This window comes from Homo sapiens, chromosome 19 (genome assembly GCF_000001405.40).
Source record: "Homo sapiens chromosome 19, GRCh38.p14 Primary Assembly".
Classification (NCBI taxonomy): Eukaryota; Metazoa; Chordata; class Mammalia; order Primates; family Hominidae; genus Homo; species Homo sapiens.
The window spans coordinates 40,716,931-40,733,607 of record NC_000019.10 but is presented as its reverse complement, the minus strand read 5'-3'; the positions used below and the strand labels follow the sequence as shown (position 1 = coordinate 40,733,607).

At 50.8% G+C, this 16,677-nt stretch overlaps 1 protein-coding gene across 5 annotated transcripts in view, besides 2 other annotated features; it reads right to left on the bottom strand.

Moving 5' to 3' along the window:
- ITPKC (inositol-trisphosphate 3-kinase C) overlaps window positions 1-16,496 on the bottom strand; it is a 23,749-nt gene extending 7,253 nt beyond the window's left edge. For 4 of the 5 annotated variants that reach the window (XM_047439468.1, NM_025194.3, XM_047439466.1 and 1 more), the window contains exons 1-4: window positions 15,318-16,496; window positions 8,169-8,268; window positions 4,193-4,406; window positions 244-448 (exon numbers count right to left, since the gene is read on the bottom strand). In XM_047439468.1, the coding sequence (XP_047295424.1) occupies window positions 244-448; window positions 4,193-4,406; window positions 8,169-8,268; window positions 15,318-16,472 (1,674 nt within the window). In that variant the 5' untranslated portion in view covers window positions 16,473-16,496. The remainder of the gene's footprint in view (window positions 1-243; window positions 449-4,192; window positions 4,407-8,168; window positions 8,269-15,317) is intronic. The other variant, XM_047439469.1, reaches the window with a different exon arrangement.
- Window positions 13,971-14,672: an enhancer, noted in NCBI's record as "H3K4me1 hESC enhancer chr19:41224841-41225542 (GRCh37/hg19 assembly coordinates)". NCBI's record gives its function as "activates a minimal SCP1, AML or CMV promoter by ChIP-STARR-seq in naive H9 embryonic stem cells {active_cell/tissue: H9 hESC(naive)}" and the evidence as "EXISTENCE:reporter gene assay evidence [ECO:0000049][PMID:30033119]".
- Window positions 16,246-16,605: a silencer, noted in NCBI's record as "silent region_10645". NCBI's record gives its function as "represses an Ori minimal core promoter by ATAC-STARR-seq in GM12878 lymphoblastoid cells {active_cell/tissue: GM12878}" and the evidence as "EXISTENCE:reporter gene assay evidence [ECO:0000049][PMID:35858748]".

Below are 16,677 nucleotides of genomic sequence, written 5' to 3'. Positions count from 1 at the left end.
ACTAGGACATGACCATGGAGAAGGAGAGGAGGAAAAGATGGACTCAGGAGATGCTCAGGCAGACGGATAAACAGAACCTGGGCTCTGATGGGTATGGAGGTAAGAAAGAGGCTGGGCTTCCCCAGCCCCAGCCTTTCATCCCACGCCGTCTCCTGCACTCTCTCGTGGCTTTCCCCAAGAAGCCCTGCCTGGGATCTGGCTATAGGCCTTCCCGGGACAGGCCAGGCGGTTCCTGGTCCTCACCTTGATGCCCTCGATCCGGAAGCCCAGGGTAGAGGTGGAGCTCATGGTTTCCCTCCACTGCATGTAGCGGGGCTTGGTGACTGCACCCTGGGCATGCTCCTCAGGGGTAGGGGCCCCAGGGTCCACAGCCACCATCTTCTCATACATGTCCTTCCGGGGACGGGGACGTTCCCGTGCCTTCACTAGCTCCTCTTCCAGATAGGTCCTGAGCACACAGAGGATGTGACAAAGGAAATTATGTAGAACAAACTGGAGGGCTTACCCTTCCTGATATTAAGACATAAAGCCACAGTGTGGCACAAGAATGGGCAAATCAATGCACAGAATACAACAGAGTCCACAAAGACACACACGTAGAGTTGTGCAGTTATGACTAGGCACTGCAATTCAGTGGGGAAAGGGAAGTCTTTTCAATAAACAGTGCTGGGTCAACAATCCATATGGAAAAAAATGAACCTGATCCCTACCTCCCACACACAGAAACATTAATTCTATCTGGAATGTAGGTCTAAATATGAAAGCTAAAACAATAAAGCTTGTAGAAGAAAACATAATATTTGCATGATCTTGGAGTAGGAAAAGATTTCTTAAACACAATGAAAAAAACTGACAAACTGGACTAAATTAAAGGTAGGGCCAGGTGCAGTGTTCACATCTGTAACCCCAACACTTTGGGAGGCCAAGGCAGGAGGTTCACTTGAGCCCAGAAAGTCAAGATCAGCCTCGGCAACATAGCGAGACCCGGTGTTAGTTACAATGTATATTGGTTTCCCTCTATGGTTCCTGGCTGGTAACTCTCATAGCCCTTGTTACAATCTTTTTTTTTTTTTTTTTTTTTTTTTTGACGCCCGCCCGAGCTAGAGTGCAATGGAATGGTGGTGATCTCGGGTCACTGCAACCTCTGCCTCGCGGATTCAAGCGATTCTCCTGCCTCAGCCTCCTGAGTAGCTGGGATTACAGGTGCCCGCCACCACACCCGGATAATTTTTTGTATTTTTAGTAGAGATGGGGTTTCACGATGTTGGCCAGGCTGGTCTCGAACTCCTGACCTCGTGATCGGCCTGCCTCTGCCTCCCATTTACAAGTGTGAGCCACTACGCCCAGCCTTTTTTTTTTTTTTTTTTTGAGATGGAGTCTTGCTCTGTCACCAAGGCTGGAGTACAGTGGCGTGATCTTGGCTCACTGCAACTTCTAGGACCTCCCGGGTTCAAGTGATCCTCCCACCTCAGCCTCCTGAGTAGCTGGAATTACAAGAGTATACCACCACACCTGGCACATTTTTGTATTTTTTTAGTAGAGTCAGAGTTTCACCATGTTGCCCAGGCTTGTCTTGAACTGGCCTCAAGTGATCTGCCTGCCTTGGCCTCCCAAAGTGCTGGGATTACAGGCATGAGCCACTGCGCCCAGCCACAATCTTTTGTTATAATTTTAGGTGTGTTAGATCTCAGAAGCTGGCTCAAGAAACCAAAATCTCTGACCTCCTCCTGCCCTCCTTTCACCTGCCCCAAGGCAGGACTCTAATCTTTCCCCACCTTCCTGACTGTGGGTCTTAGGACCCTCCCCAGAGAGGATCCCACCCTATACTCTGGGGGAAGGAATGCTGGTGTCTTAAAGCCTCCATAAAAACCCAAGGATTAGGCTGGGCATGGTGGCTCACATCTCTAATCCCAGCACTTTGGGAGGCCAAGGCGGGCGGATCAGGCCACTGCATTCCAGCCTGGGACACAGAGCAAGACTCCCTCTCAAAAAAAAAAAAAAAAAAAAAAAAACCAAGGATTGGGCTCAGGAGCTTCCAGATAGCTGACCCTGTGGAGGTTCCTGGAGCGTGGTGCGCCCAGGGAGGGCATGGAAGCTCCGTACCCCTTCCCCCATACCTTGCCCTACACTTCTCTTCATCTTTTGCAGTATCCTTTGTAGCAGTACCCAACCAGGGACTGGTTTTGTAGAAGATAATTTTTCCCACAGACTGTGAGGGGGATGGTTTCTGGATGAAACTCTTCTACCTCAGGTCATCAAGTATCAATTAGATTCTCATAGGAGCATACAATCTAGATCCCTTGCAGGCACAGTTCACAATAGGGTTCGCCCTCCAGAGAATCTCCTGCCCGCTAGTCTGACAGGAGGTGGAGTTCAAGCGGTAATGCTCGCTGGCCTCCTACGGTGGGGCCCCGTTCCTAAGAGGCCATGGACCGGTACTGGTCTGCGGCCCAGGGGTTGGGGACCCCTGCTTTATATTAAACCAGTAAAGGTAAGTAAGTATCCCCCTGAGTTATTTGAGCCACTCCAGCAAATTATTTGAACCCAAAGAGGAGGACATGGGAACTCCAACTTGGAGCCAATCAGTCAGAAGTTTCGAAGGCCTGAACTTATGACTGGTGTCTGTAACTGGGGGGCAGTCTTGGGGACTGAGTCCCCAACCTGTGGGATCTGACACTATTTCCAGGTAGATGGTTTTAGACTTGAATTGGAGGACATCCAGCTGGTGTCCGTTGCTTGGTGTGTGGGGTTAAAAAACCTAAACATTTGGTCACAGAAGTCTTCTGTGCTCTCATTGTTGTGGCAGTGGTGTGAGAACGGAAAAGCATGGATTCAGAGCTTTTCCTAAATAGCCTGTCTCTACAAAAAATTGAAAATTAGCTAGGTGTGATAGTATGCACCTACAGTCCCAGCTACTCAGGGGGCAGAAGAAGGAGGATCACTTGAGCTCAGGGGTTCAAGACCAGCCTGGGCAGTACAGGGAGACCATGTCTCTATAAAAAATAAAATATAGCCAAGCCTGGTGGGACATACCTATAGTCCCAGCTACTCTGGAGGCTAAGGTGAAAGGACCGCCTGAGCCCAGGAGTTCAAGGCTACTGTGAGCTATAATCATGCTCCTTCACTTCAGTCGGGGCAACAGAATGAGACTCTGTCTCAAAAAAGAGTAATAATACAAATACTATTTTGTTTATAAAAATATGTTTATCAAAAGACTACTAAAAGAATGAAATGGGAGAGTTGAAGACTATGTGTGTGTCTGTGTGTGTGTGTCTGTGTGTGTGTGTGTATACAGCCTCCCAGAGTGTTGGGATTATAGGTGAGAGCCACTGAACCCAGCTGGAGAAAGCAATTAGAGTTCACTTCTTGCAGACTAGGCGTGGTGGCTCACGCCTATAATCCCAGCATTCTGGGAGGCCGTAGTGGGTGGATCATCTGAGGTCAGGAGTTCCAGACCAGCCTGGCCAACATGGTGAAACCCCATCTCTACTAATAATACAAAAATTAGCCAGGTGTGGTGGCGGGCGCTTGTAATCCTAGCTACTTGGTTTACACAGGAGAATCACTTAAACCCAGGAGGTGGAGATTGCAGTGAGCCGAGATCGTGCCACTGCACTCCAGCCTGGGCGATAGAGTAAGACTCTGTCTCAAAGAGGAAAAAAAGGGATCCTATTCCAAACCCATCGGAATGGTTTAAGTTAATAAAACAGACAGTACCAAGCACCGGTGAGAATCTGGGACGACTGTAACACTCATACATGGTGGTGGGAAGGTACACTGGTACAACCACTTTGAAAATGGACTTGGCGCTATTTTCTTTTCTTTTCTTTTCTTTTTTTTGAGACAGGGTTCCACTCTTGTTGCCCAGGCTGGAGTGCAATGGCTCAATCTCAGCTCACCGCAACCTCCACCTCCCAGGTTCAGGCAATTCTCCTGCCTCAGCCTCCTGAGTAGCTGGGATTACAGGCATGCACCACCACGCCTGGCTAATTTTTTGTATTTTTAGTAGAGACAGGGCTTCACCACGTTGGTCAGGCTGGTTTGGAACTCCCAACCTCAGGTGATCCACCAGCCTCGGCCTCCCAAAGTGCTGGGATTACAGGCGTGAGCCACCGCGCCTGGCCAGGCCAATATTTTCAATAATGCCCACCCCCTGCCCTCCATCCCTGCCCCAGGGCTGCCCCAGCCCCACCTGCTGCCCATCTTGCAGTCCATAATGGAGGGGCCCTCAAAGTCAGCCAGGAGGTCTTCCATCTGGTTGAAGGTCTGGCCATCCTGCAGCACCATGCCATAGTAGGCAGGCACGAAAGGTCGCAGCGGGTCTTTCATCAGCTGCTCCAGGCTGCGCTGCTCACACTGACAGAAACGTTTCAGAATCCGACCATCCTCTCCTGCCTGGAAGTTCCCTAAAGGTGGTAGAATAAATGAGAGGATCAGGAACTGGATCAGGAAGAGAACCTCTCCGCAGCTGCCTGTTTGCATCAGATCCTGGCCACCATTATCTTGCCCGACCCTCCTGCAATGCTTTCTCTCCCTGCAACTTTTTTTTTAATGATTTTAAGATTTTATTTTATTTTTTTGAGATGGAGTCCCACTCTGTTGCCCAGGCTGGAGTGCAATGGTGCGATCTCGGCTCACTGCAACCTCCGCCTCCCGGGTTCAAGCAATTCTCCTGCTTCAGCCTCTCAAGTAGCTGGGATTACAGGTGCACACCACCAAGCCCAGCTAATTTTTGTATTTTTAGTAGAGACAGGGTTTCACCTTGTTGGTCAGGCTGGTCTTGAACTCCTGACCTCAGATGATCCACCCGCCTTGGCCTCCCAAAGTGCTGGGATTACAAGCGTGAGCCACTGTGCCCAGGCCGCAACTCTTAAAAGTCTTGCCCAGGGGTTGGTAAGGAAAGGGCGAATTTCTGTTCTCTGTTGCTTAAACCAAGTCCTGTTCCCAGCACAGGATATCCTAATTTGTTTTGTAATTTTTGATTGTACACATGTGATCATCTGTGGGAATTCTGTGAGATCTAAGTCCAGAGCGTCACTCTCCAGAGTGGATTTGCTTTTGCTGCTGCCTGGAATCCCAAGGTGCTAACAACCAGGGCCTATTTAAGTTAATTTATAGATCAAGCATTTCCTGGACCACGCAGAGTGTATAGATTATAATAATTCTAATTTCTTCTAGTGGCCAGCTGTATTTTCAGATTATATTTTCTTTTTCTTTTTTTATTTGAGAGGATCTCACTCTGTCACCCAGGCTGAAATTGAGTGGTATAATCATAGCTCACTGCAGCCTCAAGCTCCTAGATTCAGGTGATCCTCCCACCTCAACCACCAGAGTAGCTAGGACTACAGGTGTGCACCCCCACCACTCCCAGCTAATCTAAAAAAAAAAAATGTGTAATGTCGGGTTGGGGTAGTGTTGCTATGATGCCCAGGCTGGTCTCGAACTCCTGGCCTCAAATGATCCTCCCATCTCAGCCTCCCAAAGTGCTGTGATTATGTCCAGCCTGGATTACATTTTCCAAAGTTGGCTACAACAGTATCTCCTGATCACAGTGGGTCTCAGACCCATTCCTGATCCTGCTCTTATAGAATTTTCCCATCAAGGAGTATACTCTTAATTGCTCTCCCAAGCTGGGTGCAGTGGCTCATGCCTATAATCCCAACACTCTGGGAGGTTGAGGCAGGAGGATCCTTTAAGGCCAGGAGTTCAAGGCTGCAATGAGCTATGACTGCACCACTGCACTCCCGCCTGGGCAACACTGAGATCCTATCTCAAAATTAAATGAATAAATAAAAAATAGATTGCTCTCCCATTAAATATGGGACGGTTTATGGCAGAAGTGCTACTGCATGACTTCTGTTGGCAGAGACACTTACCTTCAAGGTAGTCCTGAGCTGTCTTGTTAGAAATCTGAGTACTCTGAGGCCACCATACTGTGAGGAAGCTCAAGGAGCTACATGGCAAAGCCACGTGGCAGCCCCATCTGAGACCCCAGCCAATAGCCAGCATCAATCACCACGCATGCAAGTGAATGAACCTCCAAAAGTTTTCAGCTTGTAGCCTCCAGGTGTCCCTAGCTGAGTTCCCAGATATTGTGGAGCAGTGAAAAGCCATCCCTGCCATCCTGTCTGAATTGCTGACCCAAAACTTCTGAGGTCAATAAAATGATTGTTTTATTCTACTAAGTTATTTTTTTTAACCATCACTAAGTCTTGGGGTTTTTGGGTTTTGTTTTGTATTTATTTTATTTTATTTTATTTATTTATTTATTTTTGAGACAGAGTCTCGCTCTGTCACCCAGGCTGGAGTGCAGTGGTGCTATCTCGGCTCACTGCAACCTCCGCCTCCCGGGTTCACGCCATTCTCCTGCCTCAGCCTCCCGAGTAGCTGGGATTACAGGCGCCCGCCACCATGCCCGGCTAATTTTTTGTATTTTTAGTAGAGACGGGGTTTCACTTTGTTAGCCAGGATGGTCTCGATCTCCTGACCTCGTGATCCGCCTGCCTTGGCCTCCCAAAGTGCTGGGATTACAGGCGTGAGCCACCGCCCCTGGCGTATTTATTTTTGAGACAGGGTCTCACTCGGTCATCTAGGCTAGAGTACTGTGGTGCGATCAAGGCTCACTGCATCCCAGACCTCCTGGACTCAAGTGATCTTCCCACCCTCAGCTCCCAAGTACCTGGGACCACAGGTGCATGCCACCATGCCCAGTTAATTTCTTTATTTTTCGTAGAGACAAGGTCTCACTATGTCACCCAGGCTGGTCTCAAACTCCTGGGCTCAAGTGATCCTCCCACCTCAGCCTCCCAAAGTGCTAGAACTACAGCCATGAGCCGCTGTGCTCTGCTGAGTTTTGTTTTTTTAATAAACTCAGCAATAGTAACCAGAACACATATAGATGGCAAACTTGTGTTGACACAGTTTTAGGGGGTCTTGCCTTATTTCCAGGTCAGATCTAAAGACAAACAAGGCAGACAAATTCTCTTACTGTCGCCATTTGCCAATGGGCACACTTTTCTAGTCCAGCCTGCTGCTGGTTTTTGCAAATAAAGTTTTATTGGAATACAGACACACTCATATGTTTACATAGTGTCTATGGCAGCTTTCCTGCTGTAACAGCAGAGCTGAGTAGTTGCGACAGAGACCATAGGCCCACAAAACCTAAGATATTTATGGCCTAGCCTTTCAAAAGAGCACTATATGCCACCATTGTGCTACTCTGTGCTGCAGGCATTTGCAAGGTCCTGGGGGCAAAATGTTACAGCTGCTACTTACTGAAGGCCTGCTATGCTCTGAACACGCGGAGAAGGCAAGGAGTGATCATTTCCATTCATAAGAGTCCTGTGCCTCAGTCTTTTTTTTTTTTGAGACGAAGTTTCGCTCTTGTCACTCAGGCTGCAGTGCAATGCTGCGATCTTGGCTCACTGCAACCTTCACCTCCCGGGTTCAAGTGATTCTCCTGCCTCAGCCTCCTGAGTAGCTGGGATTACAGGCACCCGCCACCATGCCTGGCTAATTTTTTTATTTTTAGTAGAGAAGGGATTTCACCACATTGGCCAGGCTGGTCTTAAACTCCTGACCTCAGGGGATCCACCCACCTCGGCCTCCCAAAGGCCTGGGATTACAGGCATGAGCCACTGCGCCCAGCCAATCTTTTTTTTTTTTTAATTGAAACGGGGTCTCACTATATTGCCTAGGTTGGTCTTAAACTCCTGGGCTCAAGCGATCCTCCTGTTTTGGCCTGCCAAAGTGCTAGGATTACAGATGTAAGCCACCGTGCCTGGCCTCAATCTTTATATACATTTTGATTTTAACTCTTCGGTTAATCCTGCAAGGGAGGTAAGGTTATCTCCACATTAACAGATGGGGCAGCTGAGGCCCAGTAAAGGAAAGTAACTTGCCCAAGGTCACCCATGAATACAGAGCAGAACTAGGGTTTGAGCTCAGGTCCGTCTGAAGCTCCCTCTCTCCACCAGAATAACAAGGAATAGCCCTCTGCCCTGACATACGAAGGGCCAGGCCCAGGCCTAAGCACTGCCCATAACAGTCCCATAAGGTGGGGACTGTCACCAAGCCCATCACTAGGTGGGGGAACTAAACTACAGAGAACATCCCTTTCCCTGGCCCAGGAGACTCTGCCCAGCTCTGTCCACCACCACCCCACTTACCAGCATGTCCAGAAAGCTGGACCCAAGGGTAGTGTTTTCGGAAGGAGACCACAAAGGGTGAATACTTCAGAACTGTCTTCAGCTTCTTCCAGGGTTTGCTCTGTAGGGAGCAGAGCAGGGTGGGGTCAGGGCCAAGGCCAGGGAAGGCAGGGGCTAGAGGTGCTGCCATGAGAGGGAACGAAAGGGGACCTGCAGTCTTTCCAGGGCCAGGGGCTTCCTGGGATCACTGTTCCCAGGCTTGTTGGGGTGAGTGAGCCCCACTTAGTTCGGCAATCACATGATCGCCCAAAGCCCTCAGCAAGATAGGGGAAATTCTTTGCCCATTTCTCCCCTCTGTCATCACTTTCTTTGTATCTATGTCTCTCTGTCCTTCTCTTATGAGTAAGGATCTTATGAGTAAGGACAGGCTAGGTTTTGTTGTGGTTTAACAAACAACCCTTACATCTTCCACTGCACATACACAGTTCCAAATCTTCTTTTTTTTTTTTTTTTAATTGAGACAGGGTCTCTGTCACCTAGTCCAGAGTGCAGTGGTATGATCTTGGCTCACTGCAACCTCTGCCTCCGAGGTTCAAGTGATCCTCCTGCCTCACCCTCCGAGTAGCTGGGACTACAGGTGCATGCCACCATGTCTGGCTAATTTTTGTATTTTTAGTAGAGATGGGGTTTCACCATGTTGCCCAAGCTGGTCTTGAGCTCCTGACCTCAAGCAGTCCACCTGCCTCAGTCTCCCAAAGTGTTGGGGTTTCAGGCATAAGCCATTATGTAGGGACCAGTGTCAAATATTGGAAGCCCCATCTCTGTCCCTAAACCAGGTCAGACCTTTTGGGGAAAATTATAGAGGCAGGAGTTGATGGATGGAGATGGACCACAGAGAGAGACAGAAACAGAGAGGCAGATGACATAGTGATGACAGAGAGACAGAGACAGCGACAGAGACCGTGGCAGTCATGACAGCTGTTCACCACATAGCTCCAGCTATTAGTTCAGGGATGTCCCTGCCCTCCTGAACTGGGGATTGTTGTTTTTTGTTTGTTTTGTTTTGTTTTAGAGACCGGGTCTCACTCCGTCAGCCAGACTGCAGTACAATGGCACCATCATAGCTCACTGCAACCTCCAACTCCTGGACTCAAGCGATGCTCCCATCCCAGCCTCCTGAGTAGTCAGGACTACAGGCGTGTGCCACCATGCCCAGCTACTTTATGGCATCTTGCTATGTTGCCCAGGCTGGTCTTGAACTCCTGGCCTCATGCAATCCTCCCATCTTGGTCTCCAAAGTGCTGGGATTATAGGTGTGAGCCACCACACCTGGCCTTGCTTTGGCCAATTAACTGGGAGCAGAAGTGTCACTTTCGGGTAGGAGCCTTAAGAGCCAGTTTATGACTCGCCACGTTTGTTCCCCAGTGGGGGAGGGAGTAAGAAAAGAAATGGAAGCTCCCTCAGCCTGGGACCCTGAGTGAAGACAGCATGAAGCAGAGCCCTTGACCCACCACTGACCTGTGACCAATGTGTAGTATAAAGCAAAATAATCCTTTGTTGTTCTAAGTCACTAAGATTTGGGGGCTCTTTGTTACTGCAGAAAATCCTGACCTACCCTGACTAATACAGAGACAGGTATAGAATTGCTAAAAGATAAAGAAATAGGCCGGGTGTGGTGGCTCTCACCTGTAATCCCAGCATTTCGGGAGGGTGAGGTGGGCAGATCACCTGAGGTCAGGAGTTTGAGACCAGCCTGGCCAACATGGTGAAACCCCACCTCTACTAAAAATACAAAAATTAGCCGGGCGTGGTGATACACACCTGTAGTCCCAGCTACTCAGGAGGCTGAGGCATGAGAGTCGTTTGAACCCGAGAGGCAGAGGTTGCGGTGAGCCAAGAACACGCCACTGCACTCCAGCCTGGGCGACAGAGCAAGACTGTCTCAAAAACAAAAAAAAAACAAAACAAATATAGGAAGACTAAAAGAGAGAGATACAAAGTAATGATGAAAAGAAAAAGATGAACAGAAGTAGACAAAGAGAGAGAGAACAAAGGAAACCACAAAAGCAGCGGGTACGATGGCTTACGCCTGTAATCTCAACACTGGGAAACCAAGGTGGGAGGACCACTGAGCCCAGGAGATTGAGGCCAGCCTGGGCAATATAGCAAGACCCCATCTCTACAAAATGTTTAAAAATTAGGCCGGGCGCAGTGGCTCATGCCTGTAATCCCAGCACTTTGGGAGGCTGAGGCAGGCGGATCATGAGGTCAGGAGATTGAGACCATCCTGGCTAACACAGTGAAACCCCGTCTCTACTAAAAATACAAAAAATTAGCTGGGCATGGTGGCGGGCACCTGCAGTCCCAGCTACTCGGGAGGCTGAGGCAGGAGAATGGTGTGAACCTGAGAGGCAGAGGTTGCAGTGAGCCGAGATTGTGCCACTGCACTCCAGCCTGGGCGAGAAAGCGAGACTCCATCTCAAAAAATAAATAAATAAATAAATAAAAAATTAAGAATCAGCTAGGCGTGGTGGTGTGCACCTGTAGTCCCAGCTACTCAGGAGGCTAAGGTGGGAGGATCACTTGAGCCCTGGAGGGTGAGGCTGCAGTGAGCAGTGATTGTGCCACTGCACTCCAGACTGGGTGACCCAGTGAGACCCTGACTCAAAAAAATAAGAAAGAAAGAAAGAAAACCAGAGAAGCAAATAGAAAACAGGGTTTTCGTTGTATCATGCCGACTAAACTATGAGCTTTTTGAGACAGGGTTAGTGTCTGATTCATGAACACATACACACACAGGAATACATTCTGCACCCCACAAGCATGTCAAGTCCCTTAGCAAGTACTGGAAGAGTGGGTCACCTCCAGAGAAGGAAACTGTATGGCTCATCCCTCTCCTACCCCAGGATCAGGGACGTGTTCATCTCTCCCGCCCCCTCAGAGCCCAGCTACCTCACAGACATCTCTTTGACAGTGGGAAGGTTAAGAGGGAGTCAGGGTTCGGGAAGGGCTAGTCCCTCCCCAATCCAGCTGCCGGCCCTGGGGAAGAGATGATTAATAAAGGTTCCTGTTTACTAAGTACCTGGAACATTCCAGACACAATGACAAAGACTCAGTGTGCCACAACCTACTTAATTTCTAAAAACACAACCCCAGGGAGATTATCGTCTCGGTGTTACAAAGGAGGAAACAGAGGGTCTGAGAGGTGAAGCCACTTACCTAACATCACCCCACACAGCGCTGGGGTTCTAGCTCTGGTTGGATCCCAGTGCCTTGGGGCTTATCCCCTACACACTTGCTGGACTACAAGCTCATGATGGCAGAGACTGGGGTTGTCATGGTTATGATTATGTCCCCAGCACATGGCCTGGCACACGACAGACGCTCCAGAAACATTCTTTGATGCTTGGACTGAAGAATGTTAGTTGGGATTTTTTTAATAGTAATTTTTTTTTTTTTTGAGACAGGATCTCACTCTGTTGCCCAGGCTGGAGTGCAGAGGTGTGATCTTGGCTCACTGCAACCTCTGCCTCCCAGGCTCAAGCAATCCTCCTGCTTTAGCCTCCCGAATAGCTGGAAAACAGGCATATACCACCACATCTAGCTAGTTCTTTTTTCCTTTTAGTAGAGATGAGGTCTCACTGTGTTGCCCAGGGTGGTCTCAAATTTCTGGGCTCAGGCAATCCTCCCACCTCAGCCTCCCAAAGTGCTGGGATTATAGGCATAAGCCACCACACCTGGCCCCTTAATCATAAACATAATATCTTCTCTCTCTGTTTTATGTTAGATCCGGGCCGGGCACAGTGGCTCATGCTTGTAATCCCAGCACTTTGGGAGGCTGAGGTGGGTGGATCACCTGAGGTCAGGAGCTCAGAACCAGCCTGGCCAACATAGTGAAACCCACTCTCTACTAAAAAAAAAAATTAGCCGGGCGTGGTGGCGTGCGCTTGTAGTCCCAGCTACTTGGGAGGCCGAGGCAGGAGAATCACTTGAACCCGGGAGGCTGAGGTTGCAGTGAACTGAGATCTCGCCACTGCACTTCAGCCTAGGCAACAGAGTGAAACTCCGCACTGCACGCCCTCCAAAAAAAAAAAAAAAGTTAGATCCAATGGTTTATCTGGGCTTTCTCGGATTTTTTTCACAATGGTCTCAGCTTATATGCCCCTTCCTCCAGGAAGCCCTCTCTGATACCCTGTGTCTGGCCAGTGACCTCCTTCTGGGCTCACACATCCTCCTGACCACTCTGAACTGTGACTGTCGGCTGATTGGTCTGTCTCTTTCATGGGCCTGGGAGCTCCATGAGTGTCTTGGTCACTGCTGTTTCCCCAGCAAAGCTAACATAGGACCAAATACATGGTAGGGGCTTAGGGAGTGATTTTTGTCTCATTAGAAGAATAGGATAGCACACCTGTAATCCCAGCACTTTGGGAGGCTGAGGCAGGAGGATCACTTGAGCCCAGGAGTTCAAGACCAGCCTGGGCAAGATAGCAAGACCCCATCCCTACCAAAAAAAGAAAAAGAAAGAGAACACAATTTTAAAAAAAGGACAGGATGGTGAGAAGGAAGGAAGGAGGAAAGGGAGAAAGGAAGCTGAGCCTTTACGGTCAGAGAGGATTTCAAAATTAAGGGAGAAGGAAGCACGGGTATGCTGGGCAGTGGGAACGGCTTGAGCAATGCGTGGAGGCAGGACAACAGAAGAGTGTTCAAGGAACAGTGTGTACTCAGGCCTAGTTACAGCAGAGGGGGTCAGGAGGAGGGAAGGAAGTCGATTCTGGGAAGGCGCCTGGAGACCGGAGGCTCCAAACGCAGCACTGAGCCCCTGACTGCTCTCAGAGAGGGCACCTGAGCAGACAAAGCTGGGCCATGGAGGCAGATTCTGGAAGGATGAGAAAAAAACTGGAGATAGGGAGGCCTGGGAGGGAGACAAGTTAGGAACAGATCTACACACTGGAGGGTTTAAACGATGGGTTTGAAACTCAGCCAGAACTGAGTTAGAATCCTGGCTCTGACTTGACGTGGCCAACCCTAAGCAAAGAATCTCTCACCTCTCTATGCCTCAGCTTCCCCATCTGTTGTTTTTGTTTTTTTTTTTTTGAGACCGAGTCTTGCTCTGTCACCCAGGCTGGAGTGCAGTGGTGCAATCTCGGCTCACTGCAACCTCCGCCTCCCACATTCAAGCGATTCTCCTGCCTCAGCCTCCCAAGTAGCTGGGATTACAGGTGCCCGCCATCACACGCCTGGCTAATTTTTGTATTTTAGTAGAGACAGGGTTTCATCATGTTGGCCAGGCTGGTCTTGAACTCCTGACCTTAGGTGATCCCCCTGCCTCGGCCTCCCAAAGTGCTGGGATTACAGGCTTGGGCCACTGAGCCTGGCCCCCATCTGTTGAATGGAGACAATCTCAGTGCTGTCATAAGGACTCAGAGTTAACACATACAAAGCCCTTAATTAAGATAGATGCTATTTTAAGATAAAAAATGACAGAAAAAAATTGACAAAAAAGACTAAAAAAAAAAAAGAAGAAAAAACTTAAAACAGTGTCTGGTGTACAGTAAGGATTAGAATTATTTGATCTGCATCTTGCAAGGTGATATCCTTGGACAAGTGACTTGAATTCTCTGTGCCTCAGTTTCCTCATCTGTAAAAGGGGATAATAATAGTATCTACCTCAGCCGGGTGCAGTGGCTCATGCTGGTAATTCCAGCACTTCGGGAGGCTGAGGCGGGTGGATCACTTGAGGTCAGGAGTCTTGAGGTCAGCCTGGCCAACATGATGAAACCCTGTCTCTACTCAAAATACAGAAATGAGCCAGGTGTGGTGGCGGGCACCTGGTGTCTCACCTACTCAGGAGGCTGAGGCAGGACAATCACTTGAACCCAGGAAGTGAAGGCTGCAGTGAGCCGAGATGGCACCACTGCACTCCAGCCTGGGCAACAGAGCGAGACTGTCTCAGAAAAAAAAAAAAAGTATCTACCTCATTAGGGTTGCTGCGAGGAGTGAGTGAGTTAATAAAAGCACAGCACTTAGCACAGGGCTAAACATGAGTGAGTGCTAATTGTTGTTGTTATTATTATTATTATTATTATTATTATTCACCCACTTCCAGCTCAGCTGTTCTGAGATGCCAAGGAAGTGAGAGGGCAGGCAGAGAGAAAAAAGCAATGGGGCCCAGGAGGGTCAGCCCCTGCACACAGGCACAGGCACGTCAAGGCAGGTCTGTCTCTCACAGCTAGGGCCACATGTGTGAACACGTCCCCAAGGAAGGCATGTGGGGTGAAGCGGGGCTCAGGGCAGACTCCAGCCAGGGGCCCCAGAGCAAAAAGAGGCCTCAGCAGGCAAGCTGGCAAGCTGATGGACTCCGGACTCGGCTCCCAGCCCCACGGCTCCCAGCCCCACGTGAGGCTCTCCAGTTTCACACCGGCCTCTGCTCTGTCCCGCCCTCCCTGAACCTGCCCGGCCGGTCCTCCTGATTCACCAGGGGAGAGCCACACCCAAGCTGGGGGTGACGGTGGACAAAGTAAACAAGAGTGTTCAGGGGGCTCCTTGGGGATGTAGGGGTCACAGGGGAGACCAGGTGGGCTCCCGGCTAGGCCAAGGATCCTTTGGCGTTTGGGGTCACACAGCCCTTTTGCGAATCTGATGCAAGCTGGGGGAATCGCTTTGCTCCCTAGAAAAATGTACATACAAATAGGCTAAGGGGTGGTGAAGGTTTGTGACCCTTTAAGACAGCCACAGGCCCCAGATTAAGAAATGTGGGGTAGAAAGTGCACCCTGCCTGTCTCCCTATCCCAGTGTTCTTCAGATTCCAGAGGATTAGACAGATGTCAGACCGTCGCTGCAACAATGTATGTGAACACGCACGGCAGGCTCCTTAGTCCTACAATTTCAGGGGTTCCTGGGCCCCATAAAGTCGGTCAGTGGCCCTCCATTGTAGACCCCCAGGAGTGGAGACAGTGCAGGAAGGGGAAAGGAGAGAATTAAGAAGGGGTGCCTGGAGTGAATTAGTAACCTGGCTGTCAGAGGGAGGAGGTCAGTGGATGGAAGAGGTTCCCGGAGATGAAATTGCTGGTGGGCAACTAACAGTAAATGGGTAGAGAACTTCCTAAGCAAAGGCGGAGGAATAAGGAGTTTTGCGTGATGTGGCTCAAGGGCAGGATGGGTCCCACTCACCCCAGACCTGTCCTCGGGATCGCTGGCACCTCCGCCCCCGGCCACCACGTCATCCTCAGACTCGTCGAAAGAAGAGGCAGAGGAGAAGCCGCCGCTGCCCCCCTCAACCCGGGAGGGGGGTCCCACTGGCTGGGCCTCAGGCTCAGGGGTCTCAGGGGTAATGATGAGGCGGGGCACAGGGCACAGGGGGCTACACTTCAGGTGAGAGTACAGGTGAGTCAGCAATTCTCCAGGCTCTGGTTCCTCTAATGGGCCATCCTCAGGCTCTCCCAAGAGGCAGTCTGTCCCAGGTGCTGTCTGGGAACCGTCAGTGCTAGGTTGTGTCCAGGAGCCATCAGTATCCTGTTGTATTTGGAAACCACCAGTGCCAGGCTGTTTCCTGGCTGCTTCAGTATCCTGTTTTTTCTGGGAGCCATCAGTATATGGCTCTGTCCAGGGACCTTCAATATCCTGTTGTGTCCTGGAGCCATCAGTATACAATTCTTTCCAGGAGCCATCAGCACTTGGCTCTTTTGAGGGACAGGCTCCTTCTGGGTGAGTCTGGAGGCTGGAACTGTTCTGGTGGGTCCAGAGGTTATCAGCCCAGGACTTGACCCTCTCTGGCTGAGTCTGTGACCCATGCGTTTCCAGCTCTGTCCAGGGCCCATGAACCCCTGGCTGTGTCCAGGGGCTGGCCTCCTCGGGCTGAAACTGGAGGTCGGACCTGTGCGGATCAGTCCAAAGGCCATCTGTCCCGGTCTCCGTCCAAAGACAAGTCGTCTCCAGCTCTGACCAGCTCCATTCTAGATGCGTCCGGAGGCTGGACCTGTCTGGCTCCGTCTTTTGCTTGGGCCTCTCGGTCTCTACTCCAAGGCCAGCTGCCGCGGGCTCAGTCTGTCCGTCTGTCCAGAATTCTGCCTGCGGACTCTCTGTCCCCGGCGCAGGCCCGAGGCCGGCCCTCTCAGGCTCGCTGTGGAGGCTGGACCCCTCTGTCCGGGCCCAGGGCCCGCCCCCCTCCGGCCGCCCCGCCGGGGCCCCTGCGCCGGGCCCAGGTCGCTGCTGTCCCGGCTGCCGCCGCCGCCCTCCTCGCGGCGCCTCCAGTCCCATGCGGGCCGCCGCGGGCAGCGCCCCGGCCTCCGCCTCGTTCAGGCTCCCACGGCACGGGCAGCGCCTCATGCCCGCTCCTTCGGTTCGGGCTTCGGCCGACCCGGCCCCTCCTATCCCTTTAAATCCCGCGAGGGGTGTGGCTGGGGAGCCCCGACTCCCGGGTTCCGGCCCGCGGAGCTCCAGCCCGCCCCGCCGCGCAAGGGTTAACCGATACTCCCCTCAAAGGGGAAAGCCCCGAAGCCCCGCCCCACCGGACGTGACGGAACGGAACGAG